Raw genomic sequence first — 16,369 nt, 5'->3', positions numbered from 1 at the left:
ATTCACACCTGTAATCCCAGCACTTTGGGAGGCTGAGGCAGGCTGATCACGAGAGGTCAGGAGTTTGAGACCAGCCTGGCCAACGTGGTAAAACCCCATCTCTACTAAAAATACAAAAGTGAGCTGGGCGTGGTAGCAGGCAACAGTAATCCCAACTACTCGGGAGGCTGAGGCAGGAGAATCACTTCAACCCAGGAGGCAGAGGTTGCAGTGAGCCAAGATCGCACCACTGCACTCCAGCCTGGGCAACAAGAGTGAAACTCCATCTCAAAAAAAAAAAAAAAAAAAATATTAATACAAAGGGGAAGAAAACAGGGTTGCTGCCAATGATGGAACTTAGTAAAGTATAAACTTTTCAGGATAAAGACAGATGAGTTGTTTGAAGTGAAAGGAGAAGATTCCAAGGACAGAAAGATTAAGAGTTTACTGAGGAAAGAAAGAATCAAAAACTTGGGTTGGCAATAGAGATGAGAGGTCCCACACCAACTAAGTGACAGCCCCAGATTGAAGCCAGACACCGTCCACTCCAGAGCCCATGTTCTTAACCATCCTACTGACCAACTCCTGCATGCCATCAGCAGCACTGACACATGGGCCTTCACAATGGACACTTCATGAGACTGGCAGTGTCTCTGCAGCTGTCCTCACTGTGTAGACAGCACAGATAAGACAGAAATAGCGGCCACAGAAAACGTAACATTTATGAAGCTTCTCTCATATGTAAATGTTAGAATCTAGAATACATCATTGTAAAGAAGAAATTATTTCGAATACACAGCATATTCTATTTTCTCTGTCTTCACATGAAGGTGATAGATATAGCAGAGACAACAGGCACATACTATAAAATGATTACCCTAGTTAAATGTTTTTATGCAGAAGTCATATTCATTGGGAATATAAAATAATATAGGTCTTAGCAGCAAACGTTCAGTTTAGTATTAACTATGATACATAAAATAAAATGAACAAAAAGACCATGCAATGCAGAACATTAAAAGCACTCTGGGGCAAAGGCAGGATGCAGGGGGCTAGGTCAAGAGATCTGGGGTGCGGGTTAGCTGTAAATAACTTAATTATTCCAAGTCCATTTCTTCATCTATAAAATGCAGAATAATTCCACTTGCCCCAACAATGTCTCAGGTCTTAGAGGATTAAATGAGAGAGTGTAAAAGAAACTGCCAAGGCTCATACACAAACGTAGGGGGAGTATTCTCATTACCACTGCGTTCTCTCTTTCAGAGATGTCAACTACGTAATCCCTTCACTTGGTTTCAGTACTACAAAAGATGGAACTTCTATTCAGCCAAAGCTTCCACTAAGGTATCTGAATAATTTTTTGGTATCCTTAATCATATCTAATTTTTTTAGTATTATTAATTTTTTGGCAGAGACAGGATCCGACTCTGTCACCCAGGCTGGAGTGCAGTGGCACGATCACAGCTCACTGAAACCTGAAACTCCTAGCCCTGCCCCCTGAAATAGGTGGGACTACAGGCGCGCACCATCACATCCAGCTAACTTTATTTTTTGTAGAGAAGGGGTCTTGCTGTTGCCCAGGCTGATCTCAAACTCCTGACCTCAAGCAATCTTCCCACCTCAGCTTCCCAAAGCTCTGAGATTACAAGTGTGAGCCACTGCACCCAGCCGATCACACGTAATTTTGACTGCTGGCACATGAAATAGAGGATTACTGGTTTGTAAATTTTCACATCTTTTTTTAAAGTTTGCTCTCTACACACTGCAAAACATTAGTGACATTATGCTAAAACATTCTTTATAGAAACTCGCATTTTGTCCTTACAAATGATTACACTGATTTTTTAATTCCACCCCAAGGCCCACCCCTCAAATCTGGGAAATAACAATGTTATAAGACTTTTTAAGAGAAAAAAAAACTTTTATTACTTACCACTCAGGTTTTCAGACATATTTTTTGCATTGGAATATCTCCTTTCACCCCTGAAGGGTACTGAACAATAAAGGTGAAGGACTACAGTAAAATGTCCCGTATTGATTTTTAAAGGATGTATTAATCGTCTTTTAGTGTCATGAGATCATGTGGAAAGAAAAGCAATGTGAAATCAGACCAGGCTCTCCTGGACTGATAGAGGAGCAGCCGCTGCCCCTTACATATATAACCCAGGAAATTTTTTTTATTGTGACTAATCCGTTAGACATTCTATGTTCTACATTTTTTGCTCAATAAAATAAATAAATAATGAGGTAAAGATACACTTTCATTACAGAACATTCTATTGTCTATGTAGGTTCTTGGGGAGGGTAGACGAGTTTTTAAAAGGCAGTTTAACATTCTTCTGGCTCTTATTCACAACTCTAGACTACAGATTTCAGGGAAAGGGGAAGACAGTGAGGACAAAGAATCTGTTCTAATTTAAACATTCTTCACGATTTAGTGGCAATTACTTCTTTTAAGGTTCAGTCACCTTCAAAATATTACACGATAAAAATAAGAGAAAAATATTACATGGTTCATAGCCAAGAACATTAATAAGAGTACTTTCTAAAGTATAATCATTATTTTCATTTTCTATTTAAAATTTTTCATTTTTTATCACCTCAGTTGCCAAATTTCAATCTTCATTGATTAAAAACACAGCAAAACTCCTTGCATACAGATTTATTCAGGTTTGCAAACATTAAATCATCATTAGATTAGAATGACAAGCATGACAAAATTAATACAGCAGAAGAGGTTCAGGGAAATATAAAATCTAAAATGTATTGAATTAGGTTTTAAATTGAACCCATACAAGCTTAAGTTCAATGAAAACCAATATTGCACACTTTTTAATCAATTATTTCGTAATCATCCCTCTAAATCCTTTAATTTACCGAGAAATCCTATCTAAAAAGTTTTCTAAAGTCAGCCATAAAATACCACTGAAATGCAAATTGGGTCTAAACTTCCACTAAGTCCATCAAATGTCAGCTTACTTCATCAAATCACTTTACATAAATGAATCTTAAAAATGTCTTCAGTGTTCATTAATGTTACAATTAAGAACCATATTATATTGAAAATAAAACAACCTATTTTGAACAATCATGGATTTAAACTCTTTAAAATAACTTATCATGCAAATCACATGATATTAAGCTCATTTATAACTTCTAAACAGAATTTAAACCTCTCCAAAGTTAATGTTTAGGCCAGAGCAACAGTTCTGCTTTTTCAACTACATCCAATAGAAGAACCTTTGTTGCTTCCTTTAACACAATCTTGTTAACAAATGATCACTGGAGAGGTTAGGGCTGGAAATATAAGTTTGAGAGTAAGTAATCATTGTAAATCCATGAGAAAGCATGAGGGACGTAGAGACTGAATACGAGCAGAGCAGAGAACAAGCCACAAGATGTCCCTTAGAAGACAGGCAGTGGGAGTTGGACTTAGGTGGGGCATGTAAAGTAGGATAGAGATGAGTTACCCTTCACTTCCTCTTTAAAAGCCCCCACAGAGTGCAGTGGCTCACTCCTGTAATCCCAGCACTTTGGGAGGCCGAAGCGGGCGGATTGCCTGAGCTCAGGAGTTCGAAACCAGCCTGGACAACACGGTGAAACCCCGTCTCTACTAAAATACAAAATAATAATAATAATAATCATAATCATAATCATAATAATTAGCTGGGCGTGACTGTCTGTGCCTGTAGTCCCAGCTACTCAGGAGCCTGAGGCAGGATAATTGCTTGAACCCGGGAGGCAGAGGTTGCAGTGAGCTGAGATCAAGTCACTGCACTCCAGCCTGGGCAACAAAGCAAGACTCCGTCTCAAAAAAAAAAAAAAAAAAAAAAAAAAAGGCAGTCCCCTTCATAAGTCAAGTATCAAAATAGGTGGATTTGGTGATCACACTGGAATAGATCTCTCCAGTATAATCTGTTTTAATGCCTAATATTTTGCTTTCTCCCAATCACTATCTTCCATAAATAATGAGAAAAAGATTTCAAAAAAAAAAATACAGAGACTTTTGCAAAATTATTAAGAATCACAATAACTAAGAAATCTTTAATTTATTTGAAGCTGAACAAGTTGCAATGAACTAATCAGAAAAAGAATTACATAATTTGGTACTTTTGGGATATAACTTTGTATCTTATTAATGGGATCCAGACGGAGATTTGACAGTTAGGAAAAGTATTCAAAAATTGTTGTAAAATTTTACTTCATCATCTTTCCTCTAGAAAACTCACCTGTGAGATGAGAAAACATGAAATAAACACTGCGATGAAATGGCCAATTCTAACCTGTATCTCAGTTTTCTGGGCTCAATGAGGAGTCTTGGCAGGCTCCACTAGGGTGTGCTCTGTCCCCCCCCATGATTCTATCTACACTCCCTGCAGATGGTTCCAACTCTGAACCCCAAAAGCAGATAGGCCTGGGTTAATGATGGCAACAACTCACACCTCACAGGGAGGCAAATCGAGAGAACTGGTTAAAACCATCCACACTCGGTAAAGTTGGCTTGGGCTGAAACCCCAGCTTGGTTACTTAGCTGGCAAAATGACCTTAGGTGAGCTACTTAACATCTTTGAGCCTGAGCCAGAGATGTCCCATCTACAAAATGGAGATAATACTTAAGGAGCTGTGAGGATTAAAATGAAAAACATGCAAGATCCTTAATAAATGTTAGCTGTAGTTATGACACTCCGTCTTCTCCAAGAGAAGTGGTTGGCACGCGAGCTACGCAAACTTCCTCAGGGTAAACCACAGTGGCGTAGGGCACATAGCCTCAAAACAACAGGGAGGACACCTAAGTAAAAAGTCCACCTCATATACCAAAACCAAGGCGAACAAGGTGGAAATTCTCTTACAGGCTCCTGATGAAAGAAAAATCATGTTGACATATTCATCTGCATTAGAAGAATTTTAAAACATGATTTCCTAATCTTCTCTCCATCACGCTGACTCTTTGGCCTGGTAGAGTGAGTAGTACAGCTACTGAGCCTTCAAAAAGAGAGGAAAAAAAAATCATCACAAAATACGCCAAAATTACCAGCAAGAACAGGTCATAAGATGAGCCCATATGGATAGATTTTGCCTTGTTTCTGTTTCATTGTTGCACCTCCTTCTATTGACTGCACAAATGGAACACTACTTTAAATCATCAGATCTGTGGGATGAAAATTCTTAACACTTCCTTCTTAATGCATTGCGGTAGTTATGCGCAAAGTATCCTAACAAAAGTTAAACTTATTAATAAATCATTATATTTACAATATCATGACTTTCATGTAAAACTGTGTCTAAAACACATATTTCTGAAGTCAACCACGGCTTGTATGTACTCTGTAAGGTTGTCAAGCTTGTGATTTACAAGAGCCATGTTCAAGATGAGAACGTCTCAAATTTACAATAGTATTCTTTTTTCCTCCAAGCACTGACTATTGCTCTTAAAATTTTTCTGAATCAATTGAGCTGGAATGACAAAAAGATTTCCAACATGTTTGTATTTGATGTTGGTCCCTAAAGCCTGCCATACAAAGATTAACCATTTCTTGGCCAGCCAGTCTTTAATGTAGCAATTCACTTAGTCATTGTGCTAGAAAATTGTTTCTATTTCATATAAACCTAAGGAAGAGGAAGAAGAAATAGGGAAAGAGAAAAAGGAGGAGATGCAGACACAGAAAGAGAAAAAGAGGAGAGTTTACCAACCAAATACAATAATCCAGGAACCTTCCTTACCTCTTCTGGAGAAAAGAAATAAAAACAACTTCATCCAATAAAATAAAATAAAATACTACTGGAAATAAAAACTTCAACCCCTCCTCTCAAGAGACGAAATGACTAAACCAAATATCAACTAACACACACCTTTTGAAGTGTGAAAGCATGTGTAGATTACAGCAGTCTGGTTTAACATTCACTTGAAGCTGGTTGAAACTAGAGGGTTGAGGCAGATAACTAGATAATGTGGACGAAGCCAGGCATATTCTCTGACCTCCATCTGGTTTCACTTGGACTTGCTAAACACCGTACTGTCACACTTAGAATCCACTGGTCAACTTGAATTATGTTGACTGGAATCTCTGGGGATAGGTTTTGCAACCACGAAGAATCCTTGTTTGAGAAAATCTTCCTCTAAAATGAATGAAAAACTGCGTAACTTGGATAGAAACCTCAACACCAATATAAAAGAATTCAAAGATTCTAGTCACTCTCTTCTGTAAGTGAATATTTACAAGTTAGTAATAACATGCTATGAATCTGTACAAGAATGAGGCTCAGCCATGAAATTCTTCCTAGAAAAGCAATTTTTCAGGCTGGTTTAGGAGAAATCTCTTTCAGATGAAGAAAAATTCTATTTGTGGATTATAAAAGAATTTTGTTGCCATATTTGTGGAGGGAAACTGACTCTTTCAAAAGCAACTTAAATGTGGGTATCCATCTATTTCACAACCGGATCAATCAACACTCTTCTATGACAGTGCAGGCTACAGTCTACACTGGGAAGACAGCAAACCTAGGTTCCTATTAAAATTCAAGTATTACCTTGAGCCAGACACAGGTTTTTCTATGCGAAACCTAGCAAAATATGTTTCTTCCCTTCGGTAGTAATCTTTTAAATAACTAAAATAGTTACCTAAATTCAACATGAATATATAACAAACTACTATTTCTTCCTACTACATTAATCCTTTGAGCTTGTTTACATGTTAGCTTTTAGGATATTTTGCCCCCTGGAGAATTCACATCTAGGAATAAGATTGCCATAGTACAAATCAACCTTTTGACACTGCTACATCAAAATTCTAGTAGCAACAGATAAACTGAAACTGCCTACAGTCATTCTTGACTGGGGCAGGATGACATGCTGCCAGTGTCCCAATGCCACGACCAATTTGATGATACTAATGTCATCACGATAGCCAAAATACAGCACAGTTGGCACTAATGTCATTCTTAACCTGGAAAAAGTTCACCCCAAAATCTTCAGGTATGGGGATATATATATATATAAAAATATATATTTTTTAAATATAAAATACATATATATATTTTTTTTTTTTTACTGCAGCCTGCAAAGCTCTGTTTACAAAGTATTTCACACAGACTGACTGAGTTATTGTCATAATTTTATGAGACAAAAAGTCATGTTAGTCTCACTCTATTCAACGGGTATATTTTGTAAACTGGGATGTATAATTTAACATTTGTTAATCACAGTTTAAACACCCCTGAGAAAAGGTTAGGTCTTAAAGGAATTCTAGGGAGAATCTTTTTATAAACCGCAGGCTTCAGCCATTTAAAAAAAAAATCACTCCTGATTTATGTGAGATCTAATTATTCAGTTTGCTCACATATGAATGCACCTATGTTTCTATCAGGTAGATCCCATTTTACATATGAAGACATAGACAGAGGTTAAGGTCCTTTCTCAAGGTCACAAAACTAGTCATTGCAAAACAGTTCATATCTCAGAGCTCCAAACTCCCCATCCTCCCTTAGTCCACCAGGCTATGCTGCTTCTCTGAGCTGAAAGTAGATTACAATAAAAGATTACCACAAAAGTTTGATTCTCCCACTCACCACTTCATGGACTGTCTTTACAAGTACAATACTAAAAAAAATTGATTTGGTATTCACCTTTGGTATTTTTCATTGCAATGAAGCAGCAAAGAATGTGACTTAAAAGGCAGAGCCTTACTCATAGACCACACCAATGCATATGTTTTCAGAGTAATCATCTACAAAAATCAGCAGGCTATTAGGATTCTGGCTAAGTAAAATGAATTTGCTTTAAAAAAAAAAAAAAAAAAAAAAACCTCCCACATTTTCAGAGTGATTCTACCCGGGGTCTTTCTTCATATCACAGCTCTTTGGTGGCACTTTATGATCTGGGGGTACTTTGGATGTGAAAGTATAGTTTGGAAGCAGAGCATGTATGGTGATCATTGTTTTCTTAGTTTAAAAGTGATAAAAGGCCAGGCGTGGTGCCTCACGCCTGTAATCCCAGCACTTTGGGACGCTGAGGCAAGCGGATCACTTGAGCTCAGGAGTTTGAGACCAACCTGGCCAACATGGTGAAACCCTGTCTCTATGAAAAATAAAAAAATTAGCCAGGCGTGGCAGCATGTGCCTGTAGTCTCAGCTATTCAGGAGGCTGAGGCAGAAGAATCACTTGAACCCGAGAGGCGGAGGTTGCAGTAAGCCAAGATCTAGCCACTGCACTCCATCCTGAGCAACAGAGCGAGATTCCATCTCAAAACACAAACGAACAAAAAAAGGTAAAAGACAGAGAGCCAGAGGCAGGAAAGCTGAATACAAGTGAGTGACACAGCTCTGCAGGCAGCCCCCATCCTTGCTTCATTCCATCCACCGGAGGCATGGGCCCTAGCAGGTCATGCACAGGCAGGATTCGGCCCCCAGGGCAGCAGACATTCCTACTAGAGATAGATTCCTAACAAGCCACGGATACCTAACGAACTCCAGTTGGGTCAGTCAATGTCATTCTGCCTTTTGGGATTCTGGAATCAGGTCTCAGACACACTCTTGAAACTGAGGGGATGGAAAGTCATGAGCTGAGACTGTCACATAGGACAGGAGGCTCAGATGGCTAGAGAAAGACAGTCATCAGAAAGAGAGGAATGAAGCTGACGAGCAGGAGGAAGCTTGTTTCAAGTGACCTCTAGGTCACAGAGGTAAAAGTAGAGACAGATGAGGCGGACGAAGCTTCTGAGTAGTATCTAGTGGAGTTCCAGTCCATGGTCCCTTAGGATACCTGGATTTCAGAATGTGAAATACGCTTGTAGTCTTGGAATTAGCATTTTTCTAACACTTGCTATCAAAATAACCTTAATTACTAATTAGGACACAGTCCCCTCCCCTCAAAAAAAAATTAAGAACATTGATATGGTCAGAGAAACTGCACCTGGAGTGCATCAAGTCCTTTTATTACCAAATTTAGAATACCTGAGAAGTGACTCGCTGAAACGGCTCCTTCTCTAGGAGCATGCGGAGATGAAGGCAGATGCCATTCTTGCACAGATGTAAACACAGGCCTACTGTCCTCCTAGTCATTGACTGTGCTGCAAAGAAGGGCTGTCCTCAAGGTGAGAGGCAGAGTTCCACCATTCCCAAGTTGGCACTTGAAATGTAATATGTCACACAGTGACTGCATGTATTTTAAATAGCACAGAAAGAAATGTATATACAGATAGAGAGACACATACGGATAGGCTTTTGGGCCTATTTTACATGCACATCTCTATGTGTCTCCATATGTGTCTCTATATCTGTCATGGTGGCTCATGCCTGTAATCCCAACTCATTGGGAGGCCAAAGCAGGAGGACTGCTTGAACCCAGGGCTTAACACCAGCCTGGGCAACATAGTGAGACCTGTCTCTACAAAAAAAAAAAAAGCCAGACATGGTGTCCCACACCTGTAATCCCAGCTACTCAGGAGGCTGAGGCGGGAGGATTGCTTGAGCCCAGGAGGCTGAAGCTGCAGTAAACTGAGATTGTGCCACTGCACTACAGCCTGGGTGATAGAGCAAGACCCTGACAAAAAAAAAAAAAAATAGGCTTTTGCAGTGTGGACTGGGTATCAAATTACATTTTCAAATATTTCTACAGAAAATTACATTCCAAGGTCCATACAACACAACATGCAAGATCAAAAATGAGAGATGCACTCCCCAAATATCCTTCTTTTCATAATGTTTGGGTCTGGTATCTTTCATTTAGGAGTTATATATTTAAAAGGGCCTGGATTAAAAACAACAAAAAACCCAACTCTATTACTTACTAGCTCTATAATCTCAGAAAAGTTCTAAATAACAACTATAACACCTGCTAACAAGATGTTTATAAGAATTACATTACAAATAAGTAAAAGTAATCTAGAAGACCTGGCATTTTAGAGGCACTTAAAAAAAGCCTTTTATCATATTTTTTCTCAGCCTTCATCTATCCACAACTGAGTATTATTTTAGTCCATCTGTGTATCTCAGTTCTCTTGTACCCTGAACAATTTTAGATGCTCCAAACTGAGCCTTCTCATTATTGCAGAAGCTGGATTGTATCTTACAACTTTCAAATTTGACTACTTACTGTGGACTCTGACTACCAGCCGGCCAGATGAATTGAGCAGACACTATTTAACTTATTCCTAAGAGAACTAACTGAACTTATTTCTGAATCCCTGAAGCTTAAGGTCCAGTCATTAACATCCCTACCCACTGCTGCTGATCTCTCATCCTAAGCAGAGTATCTCAATATCTCCACTGCTAACTATTTAGACCAGTTTTCTCCACTTGACTACGGGATGTTCCTTTCCTTTCCAGGGATTTTTTATTTGTTCCAGAATAAAACAAATAAAAATGATGGTCTTTTCATCACTCCAAGGCTGGGGACTCTTGATTCATTCCAAAAAATAACCTCAGATAAGGTCAGGTATGTTGCTAGCTTTGAGTAGCTCTTTACAATAATTGGATTTTTATGCAAATCTTGGCAGTCTTACATGGTTAGCCCAAGCTAAGCACAGACAGAGTTCCTATAGGGCTATGGACCTAAATACACATGCTAATAATTTTTTTCTGAAGACAATCCATTTGTATTTGAACTCCATGAGTATTTAATTTGACAGAAGCATTAAGAGACAGATTGTGCCTCCTTATAACATAAATATCAAAGATATTTGAAAAGTTATGTTAATGTAATTCTGCCACTTTTTGGCCATGTGCTGTATGTAGCCATTTAACCTTTAAGACTTTGTGAAATGGTTATAACATACTCGCAGTCCTTGCTTTGCACAGTTCTGAGATGCATAAATTTCAGTTACCACAGTTTAATTAACATCATTCTGCCAATAATAAGACTCAAATGTCAGTTACTATGATAAATTAATCAATAATAATTACATAAAAGAAACTTCACCACTAGCTATTCAGTGCACCAATCACTGAGTAAATAACAGATCTGTATCATGATCCATGACCAATCACGTCACTTCTTTCAAAGCCTGTCAGTGATTGGTCACTGTGCATCTGAGTTGGTACACAGACAGAAAAGCATATAGTTGTGCTGCCACCATGTCTCACAGTGATTAACCCACTTGACATTTTACAAAAATGGGTAATCCAAAGAGGGAATTGGGCAGCAAAGATGAAAGTACAGCACTGAAACACTGGTAAACTCAAAGTGAAATCTGAATCAAACATAAACGACGTTTAGAGAAGAAATAGCTGACTATGGGAATGACATCTAAGAGACACTAACGACATCTAAGAGACACTAACGACATCTAAGAGACACTAACGACATCTAAGAGACACTAACGACATCTAAGAGACAATGATGTGCAGCCACAGGAGCTTGGTGAAGGCAGCTTCACATAAATTAGCAAAAGAATAAAGACGTCCCAGAGGAAGTGATGCCAGCAAAAAAACTTCACATTAATGAAACTCACTGAAAGCACAAAGGATGAAATACGGGAAACTGATCCAAACTTAGAAAGGAGTATGGAAATTCACCAAGTCATAGAAAAGATGCTAGGCCCATCTTATATCGTATGACAAGATGAAGAAGACAAGCACTGTTCAAACTACTCCTGATAAGTTTTTAATTCTCAATTCTTCTGATTTTTTTTTTTTTTTTTTTGGGAGATGGAGCTTCGCTCTTCTCACCCAGGCTGCAGTCCAATGGCACAATCTCAGCTCACTGCAACCTCCCTCTCCCAGGTTCAAGTGATTCTCCTGCTCCAGCCTCCCAAGTAGCTGGATTTACAGGTGCCCGCCACCACACCCAGCCAATTTTTGCATTTTTAGTACAGACAGGGTTTCATCATGTTGGCCAGGCTGGTCTCGAACTCCTGACCTCAGGCAATCCGTCTGTCTCGGCCTCCCAAAGTGTGGGATTACAGGTGTGAGCCTTTCATCTAATGTTTTACATTACAGTATACTACATCAATACCAGTTTTACTTTTTCATTTCCATACATATTTATCACTGACAGAGAATTTTTAATGTTTTAACAAAAACATTCAAAGGTCATGGGAATACTGGAGTTGCTCCCACTGTTATTAAGATTGTTGTGTGTAGTTCAGCTTGAACCATCACTGTTACAGTCCTGCATCACTGTGCAAAATGAGGACTGCCTTTTGGAAAGGTATAGTAAGAATTAGAATATATGATGTTCATAAAGTATCTGATGAGAGATGAGGTTGGAAGGCAAGCAAGAGCTAACTTTTGAAGAACTCTGCATGCCTTTAATGCTGAAAGTTAATTATAAATTCCTTAAGGATGACAGAAAACCATGACAGGGATTTAAGCAGAGTGGCAGGGCAAGATCTGCATTTTAGAAAATTAACAGGTCATTTTCTGCACAATGGATTTTAGTAAAATTTGACTAAAAGAATAAACGGAATTAATTTATTTGAGAGTTAAAAAGTCTGTACACTAAGGCTATGGCCATGAGGGCAGAGAAGATAAATCATCTTTAAGAAATATTCAAATGCAGAATTGACCAAAGGTGGTGACTAACTGGAGACAGATGTTGATAATGGCCACAGGTGACTGGCTAGGCTAATATTTTGCTGACACTTGTTGGATGCAACGTGCTAGGTACTGTCCTATGGGTTTTACATCTATGTATCAGCTCAGTTAATCCTAACAACTTCAGAGGGTAGCTTCTCTTATTATCACCATTTAGAGAGAAGGGAAATGAGGAGCAGAGAAGGTGACTTGCCTAGGGTGGCACAGCTAGTAAATGGTGCTGCTAGAACAAGGCCAGCCTGTCCAACTCCACACCTACAACCTGAACCCACTCTCACCCTGCCCATCCAGTGGGCCTTCCTGCACTTAGCACCCTTATCACTCAGTGACGCACTTAGCACCCTTCCATGCTGCAGTCCCTTCCTGCCAGTCTGTTCCTTCCTCTTGTCCCACAGCAAACAGTACTACACGACTGCACTACAGGACCAGCACTGCCCTCCTCTTCCTACTATCATAAAAGTTCTCTTCAAAAAACACGGAATCAACTGCTTATCTCCTGACCAACCTGTCTTCCACGTTGTTTACTGCTTAACAAAATTACTTGGAACAAGGGGAAGATAAAGAACACGCCATATATCTGAGAAGACAAATAAAAAGTAATTTTATGTATTTTATAATCCTTCCATGTATAAGTTGCCATTTACAGATTAAAAATCTTTTGAGAAGGGGAAGATAGTGTAGATGAAATTATTTTTAACCCACCTGATTTCTAGCTTTCCATCCTATGTGGGCTCCTATTGTCTCTTATCTTTTGTTTTTAGAAAGACACATCTTGCTGAGGGAAAGTCTCCTAAGGAAGTGTAGGTAAAAGATCATCATGGCTGGCTTTTTACACATACTTTTCCAGGACTTTCAATAAAAGGCTGTTAGTCTTCAAATGTCCCAGAAAGGACTGTCTTTTTCTACTTATCTTCCCTAATTAATGATCATTTTATCATAAGAATCTTTAAAATTAAACAAATACATTTCTATCATTTTCCTTCTCCTGCCTAAACCTTGAATACAGTTGTATTGTTCATTCCCATTAATGAGATTTCCACTATATAAATTTGTTTTCCATTCTGACTGCTGAGTTATTTATCGAGGTCTGTGAGAAGTCTAGATGAATTCTAAAGTATCTAACAGAAGAAAAACAAATCTATCATGCTGGTATTAAGTTATATTTTAGTTATTCAGTTTATGCCAAAATACAGAAAATTGGAAGATGACAATTTAAATGGGTTACCAAAGAGTTACTCAGAAATCAATCTCCCAATCACAGATTTATGCTTAAAGGGAAAAATATTCATTCAATTCTTGATTTATACCAGTCATTCATAAAAGTCCTCAACAGATAAGGGCCATAAATTTCCCTTCTGTAAAAGTGTAAATCAGTGCCATAGGAAGATAACAACAGGCCTGTCTCCCTGAGCTCACTTCACTTCAACAGCAGCTTATGGGGAAGAAAAACAGAAGGTAATTTTCAGTTTTGTAGTTCTTACAATTTGTCTACTACTTAAAAAAAAAAAAAAAAGCTGGCAACTGTATGACTCTCAAGTTTGAAAAAACATAGGCCTCAAGATTTGAATACTTTTTCCACATAGAGAATGTGGTAACGATATTGATTAATAAATAATTTATTTGGCTAGAAATGGCTTTGGTCAGCCCTGCTACTTCAAAAAAAAGAAAAATATTGTGCTGCTCTTCTTATTTTAGGTTTTATTTTTCCAAGGATGAAAAATATTTGTTTTTTGAGACAGGGTCTTGCTCTGTCACCAAGGCTGGAGTGCAGTAGTGCTATCATAGCTCACTGCAGCCTTGACTTCCTGGGCTCAAGGGATCCTCATGCCTCAGTCTCCCAAGCAGCTAGGACTACAGGTGCACGCCACCATGCCTGGCTAGTTTTTTTATTTTTTGTAGAGATAGAGTCTCCTTACATTGTTCAGGCTGGTCTCGAACTCCCGGCCTCAAGCGATCCTCCTACCTCTGCCTCCCAAAGTGCTGGGATTACCGGTGTGAACACTGTGCCTAGCCGGTATTTTTGAAGAGAAATTCTTTGAAAACTAAATTGTGCATCAACCAGACTATCAGCAGAAAACAAACTGATGCAGCAAGATTCATAAGAGACATATCTTCAAATTTCTCATTTTTCTTCCCAAAATAATATTAAAGTCTCCTGTTTTTATCAGTGTGAAAAGATTTCCTGAATCAGCCCACAAAGTTCATAAACTTCTTATATTTGAGGGTGGTATAACTAGGCTTAAATGTTTAGGAATATGTTTCCACAGAAAAGATTTATCTAAACATAATTATTCTAAAAAGATACCAAATATCTACATCAAGCTATTCTGATTATCACACATATGGGCACAAAATAATCTTCTTACAATTTGTTCAAAATGAACTATAATACAACATTCCTAAAATTAAATTAGTATGGCCGGGCATGGTGGCTCACGCCTATAATCCCAGCACTTAGGCAGGCCAAGGCAGGCAGATCACCTGAGGTCACGAGTTTGAGACCAGCCTGGCAAACATGGTGAAACCCCATCTCTACTAAAAATACAAAAATTAGCTAGGCATGGTGGCGCGCACCTGTAGTCCGAACTATTTGGGAGTTTGAGGTAGGAGGATCGCTTGAACCTGGAAGGCGGAGGTTGCAGTGAGTCAAGATTGTACCACTGCACTCCAGCCTGGGCAATAGAGACTCATCTCAAAAAAAAAAAAAAAATAGTATGTGTTTGCCAAGAACCATTTGTTTAATGTTCAGAACATTTAGAGGAAAAAACAAATGGTTTGACTTATTTTTACTCTGTGTTATTTACAGAGAACACAACGTTAGAAAAATTTTACAAGGTTGAATTATAATTTTCAAAGCAGAGAAACTGATATGGTATTTGTCTGATCTTCTGGTCTCTGGTTTCTTGGAAGGAATTTTCCTAATCCATTCAGATATCAAAAGCAAAACTAAAATCAGTTTAGAGACTACTGAGTTACATAGCACAGTCCTACCTGGAAATATACCTCCTTTATATTTAGGATACTTTTTATCAAAAACAAAACTGAAAAAAAAAAAAGCCACTGTTTCCATGACTAAAACACAACTCAGGTTCTTTATCGATTAACCTCTCATTCCCGAATTTGTTTTTATATTCTCACTGCCCCCAAAAAAATCTATCTTATAAAAGCATAGAAATCTGCTTATCCCAAGAAGTTCTCTTTGATGAAGACAATCATTAGCCCTGCTTTGTATTCTCTCTGCTCAGCCAATCTGCTCAAAAGTTCATTGTTCTTTTGACAGGAATCATACAATTTAACTACATAATTTCCTCCTCCTAAGACAGAAAATTCAGGGCCTGGTTAATCAATAAAAATTTTCCTCTTTTCTCCTGTCTGATTTAAACCAAGTCAACTATATTGGCCACAATAAAAAACGTAAATTGTTGTAATCATTTGTGCTTAAATTATCTTATGGAAAAGGTGACAGTTCTCACCAACCAATTTATTTTCTCTTTACAACCTGGATTTACAATAGTTTCCTGCAACTCCTTCTTGATTAGGATTATTCCCTAGACTTTTCAATTTAAGAGTTAAAAGGAAATATTTTAAAAGGACACAGATACACTTTAAAACTAACATATCTATAATGCTAATGAGTGTTCATTACACATTCTACAGGTATATAAATTAGCCAGCTCATTAATATCTCTGATATACAGGGTAAAATGAGGTAACAATATTAAGTACTTAGCAAAGGCCTTGCAACATTCAATAAATGCTATCTATTTTTATGATTACTTCTGAAAATCAGATCAGCTGTTTCTGGTATTTTTCCCAGGAATTAACAGTCTATCATATTTGTATCATTTCCTCTCCCACA

General features: G+C 38.1%; 1 protein-coding gene and 1 long non-coding RNA gene across 2 annotated transcripts in view; both read right to left on the bottom strand.

Annotated features, from left to right (window-relative positions):
• Positions 1-16,369, bottom strand: part of SDK1 (sidekick cell adhesion molecule 1) — a 967,749-nt gene that overhangs the window by 829,862 nt on the left and 121,518 nt on the right. The gene's annotated exons all lie outside the window — the stretch shown is intronic.
• Positions 1-16,369, bottom strand: part of LOC124901577 (uncharacterized) — a 49,944-nt gene that overhangs the window by 9,592 nt on the left and 23,983 nt on the right. Inside the window, exon 1 of the long non-coding RNA XR_007060196.1 lies at positions 4,830-16,369. This exon is cut by the window's right edge and continues 23,983 nt beyond it. This is a non-coding gene — a long non-coding RNA (uncharacterized LOC124901577). The remainder of the gene's footprint in view (positions 1-4,829) is intronic.

This window comes from Homo sapiens, chromosome 7 (genome assembly GCF_000001405.40).
Source record: "Homo sapiens chromosome 7, GRCh38.p14 Primary Assembly".
In the NCBI taxonomy this organism is placed as follows: domain Eukaryota; kingdom Metazoa; phylum Chordata; class Mammalia; order Primates; family Hominidae; genus Homo; species Homo sapiens.
Note: the sequence above shows the minus strand (reverse complement) of the source record. Positions and strands in the feature narration are given on the sequence as shown.